At 38.6% G+C, this 18,427-nt stretch overlaps 1 protein-coding gene across 3 annotated transcripts in view; it reads left to right on the top strand.

Annotated features, from left to right (window-relative positions):
• Positions 1-18,427, top strand: part of METTL24 (methyltransferase like 24) — a 114,410-nt gene that overhangs the window by 53,930 nt on the left and 42,053 nt on the right. For all 3 annotated transcript variants that reach the window (NM_001354594.2, NM_001123364.3, NM_001354595.2), the window contains one exon: positions 5,270-5,498. In NM_001354594.2, coding sequence (NP_001341523.1) covers positions 5,304-5,498 — 195 coding nt within the window. In that variant the 5' untranslated portion in view covers positions 5,270-5,303. The remainder of the gene's footprint in view (positions 1-5,269; positions 5,499-18,427) is intronic.

The following is an 18,427-nucleotide window of genomic DNA, read 5'->3' as shown; positions in this document are numbered from 1 at the left end:
AAGGTTCTTAGCTTCCTTGCATTGGGTTAGAACATGCTCCTTTAGCTCACAGGAGTTTGTTATTACCCACCTTCTGAAGCCTACTTCTGTCAGTTTGTCAAATTCATTCTCCATCCAGTTTTGTTTCCTTTCTGGCGAGGAGTGGTGATCCTTTGGAGGAGAAGAGGTGTTCTGGTTTTTGGAATTTTCAGCCTTTTTGCGCTGGTTTTTCCTCATCTTCATGGATTTATCTACCTTTGGTCTTTGCTGTTGGTGGCCTTCAGATGGAGTTTTTGCCCGGTCTTCCTTTTTGTTGATGTTGATTCTATTGCTTTCTGTTTGTTAGTTTTTTTTCTAACAGTCAGGCCCCTCTTCTGCAGGTCTACTGGAGTTTGCTGGGGGTCTACTCCAGACCCTGTTTGCCTGGGTATCACCAGAAAAGGTTGCAGAACAGCAAAGATTGCTGCCTGCTCCTTCCTCTAGAAGATTTGTCCCAGAGGGGCACCTGCCAGATGCCAGCTGGAGCTCTCCTGTATGAGGTGTCTGTCGACCCCTGCTGGGAGGTGTCTCCCCGTCAGGAGGCATGGGGGTCAGGTACCCACTTGCAGAGGCAGTCTGTACCTTAGCAGAGCTCGAGTGTTGTACTGGGAGATCCACTGCTGTCTTCGGAGCCAGTAGGCAGGAATGTTTAAGTCTGCTGAAGCTGCACCCGCAGCCGCCCCTTCCCCCAGGTGCTCTGACCCAGGGAGATGGAAGTTTTGTCTATAAGCCCCTGAGTGGGGTTGCTGCATTTCTTTCAGGGATGCCCTGCCCAGAGAGGAGGAATCTAGAGAGGCAGTCTGGCTACAGCAGCTTTGAGGCGCCGTGGTGGGCTCTGCCCAGTCCAAACTTCCCAGAGGCTTTGTTTACACTGTGAGGGGAAAACCGCCTACTTAAGCCTCAGTAATGGCAGACGCCCCTCCCCACACCAAGCTTGAGCATCCCAGGTCAACTTCAGACTGCTGTGCTAGCAGCGAGAATTTCAAGCCAGTGGATCTTAGCTTGCTGGGCTCCTTGGGGGTGGGATCTGCTGAGCAAGACCACTTGTCTCCCTGGCTTCAGCCCCTTTTCCAGGGGAGTGAATGGTTCTCTCTTGCTGGCATTCCAGGCACCACTGGGGTATGAAAAAAAAAACTCCTGCAGCTAGCTCAGTGTCTGCCCAAATGGCTGCCCAATTTTGTGCTTGAAACCCAGGGCTCTGGTGGTGTAGGCACCCGAGGGAATCTCCTGGTCTGTGGGTTATGAAGACCATGGGAAAAGCGTAGTATCCGGGCTGGAATGCACCATCCCTCATGGCAGGGTCCCTCATGGCTTCCCTTGACTAGGGGAGGGATTTCCCGACCCCCTGTGCTTCCTGGGTGAAGCGACGCCCCACCCTACTTCTGCTCGCCCTCTGTGGGATGCACCCACTGTCTAACCAGTCCCAATGAGATGAGCCGGGTACCTCAGTTGGACATGCAGAAATTGCCCACCTTCTGCATTGGTCTTGCTGGGAGCTGTAGACCAGAGCTCTTTCTATTCAGCCATATCTTGCCAGAAACTCTTTTCAATTTACATACTTCTTACAACTTGAGTATTTCTATGTGTATTTGTTTAATTATAAGCAACTAGTTTAAATAGAAAACATATGAATATATAATAAAGTGTCTTAAACAGTTACAGAATTGTATGTGGCTAATTTAATTACCTTTTTTGAGGCATATATGTGTATATATATACACACGTGTATGTGTGTGTATATGTGTATATATATACACATATGTGTGTGTATATGTGTATATATATACACATATGTGTGTGTATATGTGTATATATACACATATGTGTGTGTATGTGTGTATATATACACATATGTGTGTGTATATGTGTATATATACACATATGTGTGTGTATATGTGTATATATACACATATGTGTGTATATGTGTATATATACACATATGTGTGTATATGTGTATATATACACATATGTGTGTGTATATGTGTATATATACCTCAATATTGTTCCTTGAAAACAACATTCTGACAATTCAGAGGAAGAAATTATTCACATATTTCACTCTAGATTTATATACAAATTATATGTAATGAGTACTTTTTTTGACATAATGTTCTCTTTTTTTTTTTGATGGAGTCTCACTCTGTCACCCAGGCTGGAGTGCAGTGGCACGATCTCGGCTCACTGCAAGCTCTGTCTCCTGGGTTCATGCCATTCTCCTGCCTCAGCTTCCCGAGTAGCTAGGACTACAGGCGCCCACCACCACGCCTGGCTAATGTTTTTGTATTTTTTTAGTAGAGATGGGGTTTCACTGTGTTAGCCAGGATAATCTCGATCTCCTGACCTCGTGATCTGCCCACCTCGGCCTCCTAAAGTGCTGGGATTACAGGTGTGAGCCACCGCATGCAGCCATAACGTTCTCTTAATGAAAATATAAAATTGCCCTTTTCTGCTGGTGACCTAAAATAACACTGCTTTGTTCATCTAAGTTTTGACAAATTTAATTAAGTGAAAATTCCTTTTGGATAGGTGAGTTCTACAATATTCTGATCTATATAAAAGCAAATCTATCTACTAAAAAAATGCTTTGTAGTTTCAACTGCAACTCTTGAATTTATATTTAATGCCAGGTATATCAGTTAGCTATTGGTTGTGTAATCACTCTAAAACTCAGTGGCTTAACAATCACCGTTATTTACTGTTGCTTGTATGTCTTTACTGTTGCTTGTATGTCTGCAGGTCAGCTGGGCTTCAGTTGATCCAGGATGGGCTTAGCTGTGAGGCTTTCTTTACTTCAGGCTGAGATGGCTAAGGGAGGTTCTGTATTTTACAGAGGGCCGGTGGACTGGCTGGAGTGCAAATTCTCGAGGGCACGTTTTTATCATGATGACAGTGTAAGAGAGAGAACAGAAGCACTGAAGGCCTAGGATCTGGACTGGCACACTCCCACTTCCTTCCATAAAGCAAGGCACATGGCCAAGCCAAAAAGTCAAGGGGCAGGGAAGGACTCTTTCTCATCATGAGCATGGAGTAGTGTGGATGGTGCAGGGTTGAAGGAGCAGAGTCGACAAGTCAATCTGCCACACCAGATTAGATCATGGAAAACTGGGGTAGAGACTTCAGTGGTCTGAGCTGTGTGGATTCAGTAGGTGGTAGAAAATAGGGAATAGGAACTGTTAGGTGGAAGAAATGGAAGTGCTTGTGAGAGGAGTGCTGAATTTTCTCCAGGCAAAAAGTGTTGGAAAAGCTATGGCGGAGGGACATCAGAGGGCTGACTTACCATGGGATGCAGTCGGAAAAAGAGCAGTGTAGTTGGGTGAAGGGTGAGGAAGAGGCAAATAAGACTATAATCACCCCTCAGCACCTGTGGAGGTTGGTTGCAGGACCACTGCAAAGACCAAAATTTAGGATGCTCAAGTCCTGGATATAAAATGGTGTAGTATCTGTATATAACCAATGCACATCCTCCTGCATAATTTAAATCATTTCTAGATTACTTATAATACCTAATACGATGTAAATGCCATGTAATAGTGATTATACTGTATTGATTTTTATTTTTACTATTTTTAATGTTGTATTATTTTTTTATTTTTGTTTTTTCGAATATTTTCAATCTGCGGTTGGTTGAATTTGTGGATCAGATCTGTGGATACAGAGGGCTGCCTGTATTAAGAATGTCTAGGTGGGGTGCCATGGCTCATGCCTGTAATCCCAGTACTTTGGGAGGCCAACGAGGGTGGATCACCTGAGGTCAGGAGTTCGAGACCAGCCTGGGCAACATGGTGAAACCCCGTCTCTACTAAAAGTACAAAAGTTAGCCAGGCATGGTGGGGCACACCTGTAATCCCAGCTACTTGGGAGGCTGAGGCAAGAGAATTGCTTGAACCCTGGCGGCAGAGGTTGCAGTGAGCTGAGATCACGCCACTATGCTCCGGCCTGGGTGATGGAGCCAGACTCCATCTAAAAAAAAAAAAAAAAAGCATGTCTCGGTGGATGATCTCTGAACTGAAGGCTTATTTTAGTTAATTAAAATAAGGTAAATAATTATTATCCACTGAACTTGTGTATTTCCAGATTATGCAATAGTCAGTCATCCCTCCGTATGGGGTTGGCGGTTGGTTCTAGGCCACCCTCTCCCCACCAACGGATACCAAAATCCACGAACTATCAAGTCTGGGTGTGGAACTCACAGATACAAAACATTCGCCCTTCATATCAGTAGGCTCCTGCATCCTATCAATGCTGTATTTCTGATCCATGTTGGTTGAATTTGTGGACGTGGAACCCACAGCTATGGAGGGCTCACTGTATTTATTGAAAAACATCCACTTACAAAATACTTGTAGAATCTATGAGAATGAAGTATTTCTGCACTGGGTTTAGGTTCGGCCAAGTAGTGTAGCTACTCTGTGGGATTTTGGTATCCTAAATCACATATGAGTACAGTATTGGGGCAGAAAAGCCATAATCACCATTAAAAAAATCATTCTCAGTTAATTTCATGCTTTTCATTAAAACTGGTGTTTTAATCAAAGTGACGATCCTTGCACCATTAAATAGGGAATATTTCTGAGTCAATTCAATATTTGGAAGTTTATTATTTTCCGTATGGTGTGCTACCTATTGAGTACTTAAGTACAATTAATTCATAATTTCTTCCCCTTTTGATGTGAATTTAGGTGAGGAAACCGTCTGCTTCTTGAGTTTTGGATGCAGTAGAATCACATACATTTGCCTTTTTTCTTATTTGCACTATTTAAAAATATATTACATTTCTAAGAAAACAGCTGTTGTCTTTAAGTCAAATTGCATACACAACACTGTGGCCATTAGAATGGAGACAAATTACCTCATTAGTAGAACACATCTCTCCTCAAGAGAACTAATCCTGGGGCTTATATTTGTGGACATATTCTAAGAAAATCTAAGACTACTGGATAGTCTTCTTTGTTTCATTGCTACTGTGATTTACATCACTTAAAAAAAAAACAATTTGATGATGCGCCTACATGTTTGAGTATGTGATTCTCTGGTCTTTGTCTAGCAGATAATTTATCTTTTATCCAGAAGCTTTGAGCAATAATGCTTTTTTGTGAAAGAAAGTTTATTGAATGTGTACATTAGCCATGGGTTAAAACAGGAGAAGGCTTGATATAACTAAGAACCTTGGCCTTGGAACTGTCATCTTGTTAGTCCAACACTTTGCTTCATTGCATTTTTTGTTGTTGATTTCCGTCCTCTTTCTTTATAGGCTAGGAAGTGATGATACCCATTTTGAGGTTAGCATGGCCAACAACGGATGTGAAGTGCATCGTTTTGATCCTAGTGTCAAGTCAGCTCACATTCTGGAGAGTCAGCACCTTTGGTATCACCGCTTGTCCATTGACTGGCGGGATCCCCATCCAGCTGTTGCTGCCCAAAAACCACATAGCAACACCAGAAAACTGGGAAGCATTTTGAATGAATTTGGACATCACAAGGTGAGGTTTTTCATTTGATTTTATACTTGAATAAAGTAAACAAACCCATCAGCTTTTTAAAATGCAAACCAAGAATAGCAACATTGACATTGGATAGCTGAAGGTCCGATTTTAATCTTACTAATCACCCAACATTATTTATAGAGTCAACTCTAGACATAAAGTGTTGGCAAGGATAGAGATATTTAAGTTGATGTGAAGATTTTAGTTGCTGTTGAGTAATGTTAATGGTCTTGTCCAAGACTAGGCAAGAAGACTAAGAAACTTACTTCTGGCACAGGCTGAAGAATACCATTTTCATTTGGCAACTGACTTACACTTTCCAGAAAGAGCAAACTACTTATGTTGACCTCAAATACAAAAAAAAAAATCGGGGTTATGTTTACTAAGATATTGCTTGTGTATCATGTTTCTCACTGTTGTGACATGTTTCTCACTATTTTGAACGTCTAGGCTCTACACAGAAAATATATATAGCTTTGATTAAGATTTACTTTATAAAATTGAATGGACATGTACATTACAAATTATATAATTATACCAAAGGATGTCAAATCTCTGCAAACATTTTATTATGAATGGACAGCAAAAAAGAAACAATCTTTGAACTGTGTTCTTTGAAAGCAATTTTTAGTGTAGTATACCCGAGCTAACTGTATTCTGTAGGCAGATACTAGAGAATTTCTCCTGAGTGCAGTTGGCTTGTGTTTGATCTTCAGCCTTTCTTGGGTTTGGCTATTTTGGCCTGTGTTCCCAGCCAGAGATGCCATGTGATTTAGAACAGGTCAGAATGGGTGTTTCTGTTTGAGAAACAGTGTGCCTGAGACTCAATTTTAAACTTGAGTTGGCTTCTTGATTTTCAGTAAGAAGCTTTTCCCTGCATTGCCGTTCCTCCTCCTCCTCCCCTCTTCCTCCCTTTTCTCTGCCTCCTTTCTTCATCTTCCTCTTCCTTGTCCCTCCTCCCCCTCTTCTTCTTCCTCCTCCTCCTCTTCATCCTTTAAACAACCTTTAGATAGCCCATGCTTCTTCAAGAACAACTTCAAAGAATTTGCTGTTCTTTTAACACGCAATTAACTATTAATTTGTATTTTGCTTTGCCACCAAGGGTAACTGGTGGCATTTAATAGTCAGGAGCCTTAGTGAGACACATATAGGATTTTTGGGTAAAATCTCAGAAGAGAACTCCTTTTTACATGCTGTTAATGTTTTTCATATGTGTGGGAAGAAGCAGAAGCATTTTTCAGAACTTTATTTAGGGTTTTGTTTTTTTCTTTTTTGCCACTCGTTACCTTTGTAGATCTGTTTTTTACAGCTGAGAATTACAGGCCTAATTCTCTAATATGTCAACTTTAGATTATTCAAAGAGTTAACTACTTATTCTTTGTGTTCAGTTAGGAGTCTTGCTGTTCCTGCTTTATGCTCTTTACATCCTAGCCCTCTCCAGCACCACTCTTCAAAGAAAAGACTGAGTAGGAGAAAAAGAGAAACTCAATGCCATTTTGCTTATTTTTTTCCCCAATAATACTGTAGCAAAAGATTTGGTAAAGGTGAGGATAAAATAAGACTTTGAAAAAGTGATCTGCGGATATAATTTATCTAATTTTAGATAACAAGGTATGTACCTGAATTGTGTTTGTTTAGCTCCATGGGAGCTGCAGTGGGCCAACTTTTATGCTAAGGATAAAGCATGAGACCTTTTGCAATGCTGCTCCTGAGATAGCAGAAATATTTACAATGATGCCTAGAAAGGAGAAATGCTTATGTTTCTAAGGTTACTTATTTTTTAAAAAAATATTTACAATGAAAGTGATCTGGCACAGAATTGCCAGGAATGCATTTGCTCCTTTTTTGTTTTAATTCCTTGTTGAAGAATTTAAAAGATATTGATATTCTTCCATAGAGATTTTTTTTTGGTGAATGCTTTAAAACAAAAACAACAAAACTAAACCCGTCAGCGAGTGATTGCTTTCCTTAGGAAAATGCTTCTAGGAGCTATGCGGGGCTAGATAAATGGAAACCTTGTTTGTGTCGTGTAGCAAGCACGATCTGTTTTCATTTTTCTGTATGTACAGACAGTGGTAAATAGGATGTGGCTGCGGCAGGGGAAGCAAATAGTAAAAAACACGCTAACAAATGTCAGCGTTTCTGCCTTCACACCTTCACTCATTTATTCTGAAAGTGAGTGTAGAAACCAAAGCGTTTTTAGCTGTTTTATTTCAGAACTTTAAAATATCTCATATAGTTTTGTAGTAATTTCCCTATTCCGCTGTTAGTTTTCCTATTCTGTATATCCATACGTAGATTCCAGCCACTCAAGAAAAAATATGGGCAAAAATGAAAGCAGTATTCTGAGATAGTGACAGAAAGATGCAAATGGCTTTTGTACTGCTTTTAAAACTCTTTGGTAATTTTAACCTCAAACTATAAATCAAAAGCCTGTTCTAAAGCATCAGGCTAGAGCAGCTGCATCAGCAAAACCATGTGGATTAGAAGCCCAGTCTGTCAGGGAGTAATATCACTTGGATCCAGCATTATGTGAAATGATTAACTGTCTACTCTTTGCAGAAGTGGTTATTGTTAACTAAGCATACAGTTTTTTCAGAATGCAACTAGAAATATTGAATCTGAAGTTTCTGCTCATATTAATCATAATGTATAGTTTTTTTCTAAAGTCTTTCTTACTTTAGACTTTGTTACATTCAGAGTATCCTCAATGATCCGAGCTAGTTAATGAGGAATTATAGCTATTATTTTTGGTCTTAACCATGCTGCTGATAACTCTGAATAACAGAGCTGCCTGAGGGTTTCTCTATGTAAGCTCATTAATCTAGGTTTGAAGCATGGTCCTCTTATTGGCTTTTGGCGTTGGGCGAGTCATTTAACCTCTCTGGCACTCAATTTGATTGTCAGTTAAATGAGGACAATGATACTTTCTAAATTGTGGGTTTTTTTTGAGAAGTAGGTCTGAGAACATAGTGTGAAAGTCTCCAGCAGAATGCCTGGTGTGAATTAGTCACTCAATTGTTTTCAGTAAACTCAAAGGGTTTTTATTAACAATTTTAGTACATTTTATAGAGAACCTTCCTTCCTTCCTTCCTTCCTTCCTTCCTTCCTTCCTTCCTTCCTTTCTTTCTTTCTTTTCTTTCCCGGGGAAAATATATCAGACATTTCTCTGGAAGTTGCTAACCACCTAGTTCCACTCAAGAGTTTTTAATGAGAGCTTTGTGTGAAACTGAAAGGCAATTGGTCCTTCAGACTTGGTTGTAGAGAACTATTGTTTGCTGCCTCCAGGCGCTGAACAGCCTTGTGGGTGATTGTATAGAAAGTAAATACTGTGCTGTATAGAAATTAAATAAACTGCTGAGAATTAATTGAGATTCATGCCACACAGAACAGATGTAGACCTTGGGGCTGGGGCCCTCTGGTCAGACGCCCTGGGGGAGCTGGCCTCCCTGCCTGTCAGCTCAGGGAACTGTGTCTTCCTTCACCTGCCCTTGTCACCACCCAGGCCAAGGCTCAGTGTCCACTTGAACCCTCACAGGACTACCAGTTTCTGCCTCCCTTGGCTGGGAGCTCGCCATTGATTCCAGAACATCAGTTTTGTTGTGTGGTCACTATGATTACATTTGAGAGAATATGGGCTTTGAAATTAAATTACACAGCTGGGGCAACATAGCACATCCCATCTCTACAAAAGATTTAAAAAATTAGCTGGGCATAAGATTTAAAAAATTAGCTGGGCATGGTGACATGTGCCTGTAGTCCCAGCTACTGGGGAGGCTGACATAGGAGGATTGACTGAGTCCAGGAGGTGGAGGCTGCAGTGAGCCATGATTGCTCCACTGTACTCCAGCTTGGGTGACAGAGCCAGACCCCTCTCTCAAAAAAAAAAAAAAAAAAAAAAAAAAGAAAGAAAGAAAAAAAGAAAAGCAATTAAAGACTCACTTTTTGTTTTTCTCTTTACTTATCAAATTGGTAAATATAAACAAGAGATTGATACTGCCCTGTATTGTAATGCTTGTTGGGAATAATACACTTTGCTGCTGGAAATGGAAAATAATATACTCTTTCAGGAAGAAAATTTGACCATGTGTATATGGTGTGTCAGTTTTTATTCCTAGAAATATTTTTTGCCTTAAATTTTGTTTTATCTGATGTTAGTTCTGCCATGCTAGCTCTCCTTTGATAAGTATTTATGTGAAATAACATTCTAGATTCTTTTATTTCCATTATTTTGATATAGTTTTAGTTTATGTATAGCTTATAAGAGCAGTGCATTCAATATATGCCTGGATTGTATTTTTAAACCCAACCTGATAATGTCTTTAAATAGGTGTGTTTAATGCTTTTATATTTATATTTATTGGGATTACTGGCATATTGGGACTAACTTCTACTCTCTTAAATTTGGCCTTTGGTTTTCTGCAGTATTCCCCCCTCTTTTTGCTAAAGCTTATATTTCTATTCTTCATGGTTACCTTTAGATTTAAAAAGTATATAATTAACTATAAAATTTTAATATATAAAATTATCCAGTATTTCTATATTCCTTCTAAACATGATAAGGATCATAAAAAGTTAACTACCCATTCAACCTGGGTGCCCACATTATTATTATCTGGAGTTTTACATATTTTTATTTTCAAAAAATTTCAAATGCCAATGTTGCTGGAATATAATGAACCGTCACATATTTTTCACTGGAATTCACCATTTGTTAATATTTTGCCACATTTGCTTTCTCTCTCTCACTCTCTCTCACCATACACTTATCTCTGCAACATAAAAAAAATAAAAAATGCAATAGAAAGCAATGGATGAGTACTTCCATAATAAATCTATCTGTGTATGTGAGTTTAATCCATTTGTATGTATTGTTTTTGCTGATATAGTTGAATTAATTGCTTCTTATTTTAGTGTATCTCAGTCCAAGAGCTGACATCATAATTAATGTGGAAACAGTGGAAATATCCTTATTAAAGTCGGGGAAAAATAAGGATTTATATCATCACCATTAAAAAAAAAAGATTAGAGCTCTTTAAAAAAAAACTGCACATTTTGAGATAGATTCACATGCACTTGTAAGAAATGATACAGAGATTCCAGATACAGAACATTTCTGGCACTTTAAGGATCATGTTTCCCTTTTATAAAAACACCTACCTTCTTCCCCTTACCTCCTTCCCTAACCCCTGGTAACCACTAATCTGTTTTCTATTTCTATAATTTTGTCATTTTTAAGAATGTTTATAAACAGAATCATACAGTGTGTAATCACCATTGTTATTTAATATAGTTCTTAAGATAACAGCTAATACAATAAGAAAAAAATTTAGGAGTATAAATTAAGAAAGAGGTAAAAATTTTATTATTTGCAGATATTATTATTATTGAAGGACATATTAATTGAAGACAATATGATGGTATACTAGAAAACTCAAGATAATCTAATGAAAAACTATCAAACAATAAGTAAATTTAATGAGTTGTCTGAGTACAGTATACAAAAAAATTTTAACTACACTTTTGTGAATAAAAACCAGTTAGAATATAAAAAGGAAGCAAAGTTTATTTACAAAAGCAACAAAAATAAAGCTAAAGATAAACTTAATGAGACATGTGCAAGGTCTACAAGAAGAAAACTTAGCCACTCAAAGACTTAAAGGAAAACTTGAACGAATTCAAAGGCATAGTACATGCTTCGATGTAAATGCTCACCATCATAATGATTAACCCTTTCTTATGTTAATCTACTGATTTAACATGTTCCAAATAAAATTGCCAATAGGATTTTTTTTTCAGAACTAAAGAAGCTGATTCTAGAGTTCATACTGAATTAACAAGCAGAAATAACCAATCAAATTCTGATAAAGGAGTAATAAAGGTGGTTTACTAACCCAATGGGATAATAAATCTTCTTATACAACTATAATAATAAAAATGGTACTATTGCATGAACAGATAAACAGATTAATGGACAGATTTTAAAACTCCAGAAATAAATCCACATACCTCCAGAGTTGATATATGATAAAGGCACTATCTCAAATCATAGAGAAAAGATGGATGTGTCAGTAAAATTATGGATATTTATTTTAAAAATGTTTTTTCAGCTTTATTTGATGCCTTTTACCAAAAAATTTAAACCAATAAAGTTTTTTTAAAGACCATAAAAATATTAGAAAGAAAACTATGGGGATTTAAAAAAAAATTCTGGAGTTAGGAAGTCACAAAAGAAAAGAATAATTAACTTGATTACATACAAAATTTCCACATGGTAAAACTACCAAAAACAAAATTAAAAGACAAATAACAAACTGCGAAAATACTGACAATTCATTTTATAAGTAGAGAGTTAATTTCACCGGTATAGAAGGGCTTCAACAAATCATTAAAAAAAAGATCCACAACTTGATAGAAAATTGGATGAAGAAATAGTTGATGAAAAACAGTTCACAGAAAAGGAGATTCAGATGGCTTATATGAAAAAATATTAAAACTTGGACATATTAAGAGAAAGACAAATAAAACTATAGTTAGATACAATGTTTTCATCAGATTATCAAAGATAAAAAGTCGCAGGAATATAAATTGCTACAGCCTTTCTGCAGGGCAGTTTGGCAATATCTATCACATTGCAAATGCAAATCCAGCAATTCTACTTCTGTGAGTTTGCCCCAGTCATATCCCACATGTGTGAACAGATATATGAATAAAGTTATTGTTTTTTGCAGCATTGTTTGTAATAGCAAAGGGTAGAAAACAATCTGCATAGCCACCATTGTGGAAGTAGTTAAATGGAGAATTGTATATCTTTTCATGGACAACTTACAAAACCACTTAAAAAAACGACAAACAAATTTTTATGTACTGATGTGGAACAATTTCTGAGATACATTTTTAAGAAAGAGAATTTACAATGCAAAGCAATTGCTGAACAGTTTTGAAAACAAAGAACAAAGTTAGAGGCTTACGCTACTTGATTTCAAGACAATGTAAGGGATAGCAATCAAGATAGTCTGGTACTGACATAAAGATAGACATCAATGGAACAACAAGAGAATTTGGAGATGGAAACACATATATACATTATCCTTAGCAAACTAACACAGGAACAGAAAACCAAATACTGCATGTTGTCACTTTTAAGTGGGAGCTAAATGCTGAGAACATATGGACCCATAGAGGGGAACGACAGACAGTGGGGCCTATCAGAGGGTGGAGGGTGGGAGGAGGGAGAGGATCAGAAAAATAACTAATGGGTTTTAGGCTTAATACCTGGGTGACGAAATAATCTGTACAACAAACCCTCATGGTACAGGTTTATCTATATAACAAACCTGCACATGTACTCCTAAAAGGAAAATAGAAGTTTTTTTTAAAAATCTGCAATGAAGAAAAAAAAGAGAAACACGTATATAATTAATTGATTTTTATAAAGGCATCAACATAATTCAATGGGAAAAATTATAGTCTTTTCAACAAATGGTGCTGGAACAACTGGTTATCTGTATGGGAAAAAAGTAAAACCTGACTTGAATCTCACATCATCATGAAAATTGTTTTGAAGTGGAACATAGACCTAAACATAAAAGCTAAAATTATAAAACTTCTAGAAGAAAACATAGGAGAAAATCTTTACAACCTTGACATATGCAAACATTTTTTAGACAGTATATTTCTTAGCATAAACCATAAAAAAATTTTAAAAAGATAAATTGGACTTTATAAAGATCAAAACTCTCTGCTCATCAAAAGACATTGTGAAGAACATAAAAACTAGGAGAAAATATTCATCACAAATATATCAGAAAAGGACTTGTATCCAGAATACATAGAGAACTCTCACAACCACAAATGAGGAGACAAACAATTCAATTAACAAACAAAAGAGTTAAACTGGCACCCCACCAAACAAGATACACAGATGGCAAAAACACATATGAAAAGATGCTGAATATGATTAGTTATTAGGGTAATGAAAATTAAAGCCACAATGAGATATCACTTCATAACTACCAAAATGGCTAAAATTTAAAAGATTGATGTTACTAAGTGATGGTAAGGATATGGAGTAACTGGAAAGCTCAAACATTTGTAGTGGGAATGCAACCTCTTAGGAAAAGAGGTTGACAATTTCTTAAGTTAAACATATATTTACCAATTGATCCAGTAAACCCATTCCTAGATATTTACCCAAGATAACTGAAAACATATGTCTGCACAAAGGCTTGTAACTGAAAGTGTATAGAAGCTATATTCATGATAACCTCAACTGGAAACAACTCAAATGTCTGTAAATATGTGAATGGGTAGAGAAGTTATGGTATGATATATCTCTTAAATATACCATATACCTACCACACATCCATATAGGATGAAATACCACTGATCAATGAAAAGGAATAAGCTTTGTGACACATACTACACAAATGAGTCTCACAGACTTTATGATGAATGAAGGAAGCCAGATTCAAAAAACCACCTGTTATGTGATTCTCTAAATAAAGTTCTAGAATAGACAGAAGTATTCTATGGTGATAGAAATCAGATCAGTGGTTGCCTAGGGCAGGTGGTGAGGGAGCAGAGTTGGAGATTTATTGAAAAGATCACAAAGGAACTTTTTGGGGTGATGGAAACATTCTATATTTTGAGTACGTTATGGTGGTTACATGGGTATATACATTCGTCAAAAGTTGTCAATTGGCTGGGCATGGTGGCTTACACCTGTAATCCCAGCACTTTGGGAGGCTGAGGGGGGGTGGATCTCTTGAGGCCAGGAATTTGAGACCAGCCTGGACAACATGGCAAAACCCCATCTCTACAAAAAATATAAAAATTAGCCAGGTGTGGTGACACACACCTTTAGTCCCAGCTACTCAGGAGGCTGAGGCAGGAGGATCAATTGAGCCACTGCACTCCAGCCTGGGCAACAAAGCAAAACCCTGTCAGAAAAAAAAGTAATTGACCAATATCCTTAAACTGTACGAATTTCCTTGTATATAAATTATATTTCAATAAAAGCAAATTGCAGAAGAGTGTGTGTAGATTTCCACCATTCTACCACTCACATAATTGTTTTTGAAATTATATGCAAGAAACTAGTGATGCTGGGAAGCTCCAGGGAGAAGAACTAGATGGCTGAGGAAGAAACTCTGTACTCTATATCTTTTGAATTTTGTACCTTGTTAATATTCAAACAGTTAAAATATTTTCCATGTTTTCTTATCCATTTTTTAATTCTCTACTTTTGGAGTTCTTTTTAGATGTATTTTGGAGCCTCTAAGTCTATCCTTCTTGTCTCTTCATTGCTTTTTCATTCACTCTGACCTATGTTAGGGTAAATTCCTCACTACTAGCTTCCAATTCTTTAATTTTCTTTTTAACTATATCCAGGCTAGAGTTTATACCATTTATTGGTATTTTTACAAAAAAAAAAGACTATATTTTTCACTTCCAAGGTTTCTAATTGGTATTTTTCCTATCCATCTGTTCTTTTCTAGTTTTGCATGCTTTTATTTAAAAGTGTGTTGCCACTGCTTGCATGTTTGTGAAAGCTGATATTCTTCTTGATTGAGCTGAGCATCCTAAACATACTTATTTTAAACTTTTGTCAGATTTTTCAATAAAATTAGTCTTGGAATGAAGTAACATTCTAATTATTGCATTGGTTGACTGTTTCTCTTAGCCTTTGACTTCAGTGTGTATTTTGGAATTTTGGTTTACTGGTGTATTTTCAGTAGAAGGTTTTTGGTTTGGTTTTGCTTTTCTCTTTCTTTTTGGCTTGCCCTTCTCTGCCTAGTGACTTTGCAGTAACCTTCAGGACCTGGTCTTCTAGAAGCATTTGGCTCTTACTCTTCCCAGTAGTATGTGGACTATTCAGACACTGAACCATCAGAGGTCCAGCTCATTTGCTATTTGCTAGAGTGTGTCACTCTCCTCCCATCTTCTTAGGCCAGCAGCTAGTTTTATGCTATAGCTCCAGCCAGTGGTTGTTAGTTTATTTCAGTCTCCTTTCTGCAGCCAAGGAGTTCCACTCCCGCCCCTGGCTTTAAACAATGAATGGGCTCTGGCTGCTCTCTCAGGGGAGCACCTTGAGTTCCTATGTCCTGTAGGAGATGCACACCCAGCACCACTGCCACCTACTTTAAGATGGAAGCCCACCATTTCCGGCCTGCCATCCTGCTCACCGCCCTGTGTTCATTCATGGAGATGTTCATCTTGGTTTTGAGCTCTGCTGTGTCCTTTTTGTTTCTTTTTCTCTCTCTCTCCCTCTCAAATAGTTCTCCCTATTTTTGCTTTGTGTTTGGCATGGGGGAAAGGGGTGCATCTCACCTTCATCTTTTTCTTTAAATCAACTTTAAATAGAGTCACCTTTCTTACTTAGAATTATCTGAACAAATAATGTCCATAGACTTGTGAGCCAGTTGTCGTAGGTTTGTTTGTTACATTTTTAAAATACCTAACAAATGAAAGATTTTGAAATGTTGCCTCCAAATCATATTCAACACCATTATTTCTCAAATGTAATGTATATGTGAACCACCTTGGGAATGTAATTAACATGCAAGTAGTGATTCCGGAGGTCTGGGGTAAGACCTGAGGTTCTGTATTTCTAGTAAGCTCCAAGATGATGCTGATAGTGCTGGCTGGGAAGCTGTACTTTGAGTAACAAGGTGTGTACCACTCTTGGAGAAACAGGACCAGAGGAGAAACACATTGCCCATGACTATGGCTTCATAGTCATGGGCAGTGCTGAGACTTGAACGCAGTCCCTGCAGAGCACAAGCACTGGGCTACTCTGTGCCCTGTTGATGTCTTCTGCCTTCAGCCTGAGACCCTGGTGTGAAGGACAGACACTGTCATAGTTTCATTGTTTTTATTCCCATGCAGCCTATCGTATCTGATTTCTGTACTAGCTGTTGTACCGGAACACATTTTTTCTCAGGAGGGAAGCTCCTTTATAAAAGTGTTCCCTGCTGGTCTGCCACACCAGGTCAAGGTCCAGGCATGCCTGAGTCTTAGATAATGATTTATCCTCAAGCTGGAGCCTTGCTTCTGAGTTCTGTGTTCCTAGGTGAGCTGTGTGCCTCACAGGCAGAGACCCCTTATTGTACGGATTCCCATTCCAAGTACCTAGCAGGCACTCTGGAACTATACAGGATACATGTTGGCCTTTTTCTCCAGCACCTTGCTAAACAAAACGTACAAGGCATGAAAATTTGAATACCTTATCTTTGGGCACAGTCTACCCTAGAGTTAACCAGCAGCAGCCTTGAACGTCCAGAGACCTTAGCTCCTGATGTTTCAGAATGCTTGGGCAGGAAACCTTACCGAAAACCAGATATGCTGTGGTAAAGGTGGAAGTCCAGGTGATTCTTTCAGGTCCCAGGGCAATTTCTATCTAAATTTGTTTAAATTCCTTTTTCAAAGAGAGGTGTCTATCTTTCTGTGTATTTGAAGGCAATTTCATCGTGCAGAATTGTGATTTAATCAGGAAGGTGCTGTGTTTCTGTGAAATAAGCCAGTGGCAATTTAGCAGTAATGAGTCATTCATGGTGCTGAATTGCAATTTGAAATGCAGAGACATCTGTCGGTCTCCGTCAATCTGCAGTGGACCCTAAGGACAAGCCATCTTGGGAAAATGAGTCAAGAACTTCCGAACTCAACATTTAGGAAATGTTTGTTGTTTTTGTTTTTGTTTTTGCCAAAATTCATCCATAAAGGTGAGATTTGAGGTGTAGCAAAATGTCTTGGCTCTTCTGAATATTTTTCAAACCATTCAGTGTTTAACTAACATGGAGCTGCAATAGAGTAGAAAGCCCATCTGATGACAGAATTAACTACATCTGGATTTAGCTGTTGTATTAGAGTTCTCCAGAGGGACAGAGCCAATGGAATAGATACATATATATAAAGGGAAGCTTATTAAGTATTAACTCACAAGATCACAAGGTCCCACTATAGGCCATCTGCAGGCTGAGGAGCAAGGAGAGCCAGTCGGAGTTCCAAAACTGAAGAACTTGGAGTCTGACGTTCAAGCGCATGAAGCATCCGGCTAGGCCAGTCTCTCCTTTTCACGTTTTTCTTCCTGCTTACATTCTAGCTTTGCTGGCAGCTGATTGTGCCCACTCGGATTAAGGGTGGGTCTGCCTTTCCCAGCCCACTGACTCAAATGTTAATCTCCTTTGGCAGCACCCTCACAGACACACCCAGGATCAATTCGACATTGAGTTGACATTCAGTATTAACTATCACAGCTGTGGTGATGTTTTCTTTGAGGTGTTCTACCTTCCATTTTCCCTGGGCAGAAGCCATGAATGGCAAGGTTGTATGTACATGGTGTTCTGGAATCTGGAGACCACTCCCAGCTGTACGACTGTGTGCGGCTTAGACTCTCATGTTAGAATGGGGGACGCTGGACAACAAACCAAAACAGTATCAACAACACACCATAAGCAAAGAATTCCACCACAAAGGGAGCTTGATTAAAATGTCACTCAGGCAGGACCAACCCCAGAGATTGTGATTTAGTTGTTCTGAGATAGAGCCCAGGAGCCTGCATTTTTAACCAACCCCACCCATCTCTAACCCAGGTGATGTGAAGATCATCCCTTTGAGGAACCTCTGTGCGTAGAAAGGACTTAAATGGCTCAGCCTTCCCTTTGCAAATCCCGCACCCTCTTTTGTGCATAAAGCCCTTGAAACAAGACGGGGGTCAGGAGCCTGGCTGTCAGTTTCTGCAGCATCCCCTCTCTCTCCCCACCCAGTCGATGAGTTCCCCATTCCTCAGTTTCTCCTATTGTAAGGTGCATGATATGAACCCTTGCCACTGGAGAATGTTGTGGAAGCAAACGAGCACGTGTTAGTGAGAGAAAGGAGCAAGGAATTTTCATGAGACCAGATTTGTGATTTTATGGAGAATGATG

The sequence above is a fragment of the Homo sapiens genome, chromosome 6, assembly GCF_000001405.40.
Source record: "Homo sapiens chromosome 6, GRCh38.p14 Primary Assembly".
NCBI lineage: Eukaryota > Metazoa > Chordata > Mammalia > Primates > Hominidae > Homo > Homo sapiens.
The sequence above is the reverse complement of the archived record's forward strand: the minus strand, read 5'-3'. Positions and strand labels throughout refer to the sequence as shown.